A 1,457-nucleotide genomic window follows, 5' to 3' on the forward strand; every position below is an offset into this window, starting at 1 on the left:
ACCTGGAGCTGGGACTAGGAGGACACAAGCACTCCTGTGTCCACCAGCACTGGGAATGCACTGAGTCAGACCTGAAGCCAGCATAGCACCGGGTCTCACCCAAGGCCCAGTGTAACCGCTACCTGGCTACCACCTATGTTCGCTTAAAGCCCTTGGGCTCTATAATCGGTAGGTGGCTGAGCCAGCCAGGCTGTGTTCTTCCCTTCAGAATGTCAAGATTCCCCAAGCCCTGGACAGGTCCAAAGATGCCATCCAGGAGCCAGAGACTGGAGTCAAAAACCCCAGGAATCTACCTGGTACTCTATTCTATTGCAGTGAAGCTGGCACTCAAGCCATGAGACAAGGTCCTTCCCACTCTTCCCTCCCTTTTTCATAGGCAGAGGGGCCCCCCACCATGGCCATCACCACCACCACAGACCCACAGCGGGTACTGCCAGGCTACTGCTGATGTTCCCTTAATGCCCAAGGGCTCTTTAGTCAGCTTATGGTGAATGCTGCCAGGCCTGGGACTCATCCTTCAGCGTAGTGGGCATTCTCTGGGCCCAGGGAAGGTCCAGAAATGCTGTCCAATAGCCAAGGCCTGGAATCAGGGACCCCAAGAGCCCATTTGGTGCCCTACTGCATTGTGGCTGAGCTGGTACCTGGAGCCAGCACATCTCAGAGTGCCAACCAAGGCCCATAGCATATTACCTTGTGATTGGTGATGGCTTTTCAGGGCCCAAGGGCTCTTTAGTCAGCAGGTGATGAACACTGCCAGGACTGGAGCCCTCCTTTCAAGGCAGCAGGTTCTGTTTTCGCCCAGGGTGTTCTAGATATGTTACCTCAGAGCTAGGAACCGGGATGGGGTCCTCAAAACTCTTCCCAGTGCCCTATCCTGCTGTGGCTGATCTTGTATCCAAGAAGCAAGACAAAATCCTCTTTCCTCTTCCCTCTCCTCTCCTTAAACAGAAGGAGGTTGAGGGAAGGTGACATAAGCACTTCCTTGGCCACCCCAGTTGTTGTCCACATCCACTGTCTTTGAGCCCAGCACAGTACTAGGACTTGCCTAGGAATTGCCGTGCTTGTAGCCATACCACCTTTCAAGTTTATTTAGGACCCCAGAGCATGTTAGCCCACCCTGGCAAAGCTTGCTGGAACTCAAGTTCTGACCACTAGGATGTGCAACTTCCCTCCGGCTAGGGCTGGTCAAAGTGCTCCCTCTGTGGGTGGGTGTGGGTTGAGTTTAGTGCAGTTTTGTTTTCCACTGTGACAGGGCAGCACTGGATTCAATGCAGGGTCCCACAATCGCTGTGCCCTCCCCGCCTCAAGCACACAGATTCACCATGACATGCAGCCACTGCCAGGGGATGTGAGAGGAATGGCACTGGTGATCAAAGACTGCTTTTCCCACCCACTTCACTGCCTCTTTCAGTGATATGAAGTTAAAATTGGGTACTGTGATTGCTTACCTGGTTTTT

The 1,457-nt window shown here is 53.3% G+C and overlaps 1 annotated feature.

Annotated features, from left to right (window-relative positions):
• Positions 534 to 1,033: an enhancer, noted in NCBI's record as "H3K27ac hESC enhancer chr4:82296443-82296942 (GRCh37/hg19 assembly coordinates)". NCBI's record gives its function as "activates a minimal SCP1, AML or CMV promoter by ChIP-STARR-seq in naive H9 embryonic stem cells {active_cell/tissue: H9 hESC(naive)}" and the evidence as "EXISTENCE:reporter gene assay evidence [ECO:0000049][PMID:30033119]".

Source organism: Homo sapiens, chromosome 4 (assembly GCF_000001405.40).
Source record: "Homo sapiens chromosome 4, GRCh38.p14 Primary Assembly".
Classification (NCBI taxonomy): Eukaryota; Metazoa; Chordata; class Mammalia; order Primates; family Hominidae; genus Homo; species Homo sapiens.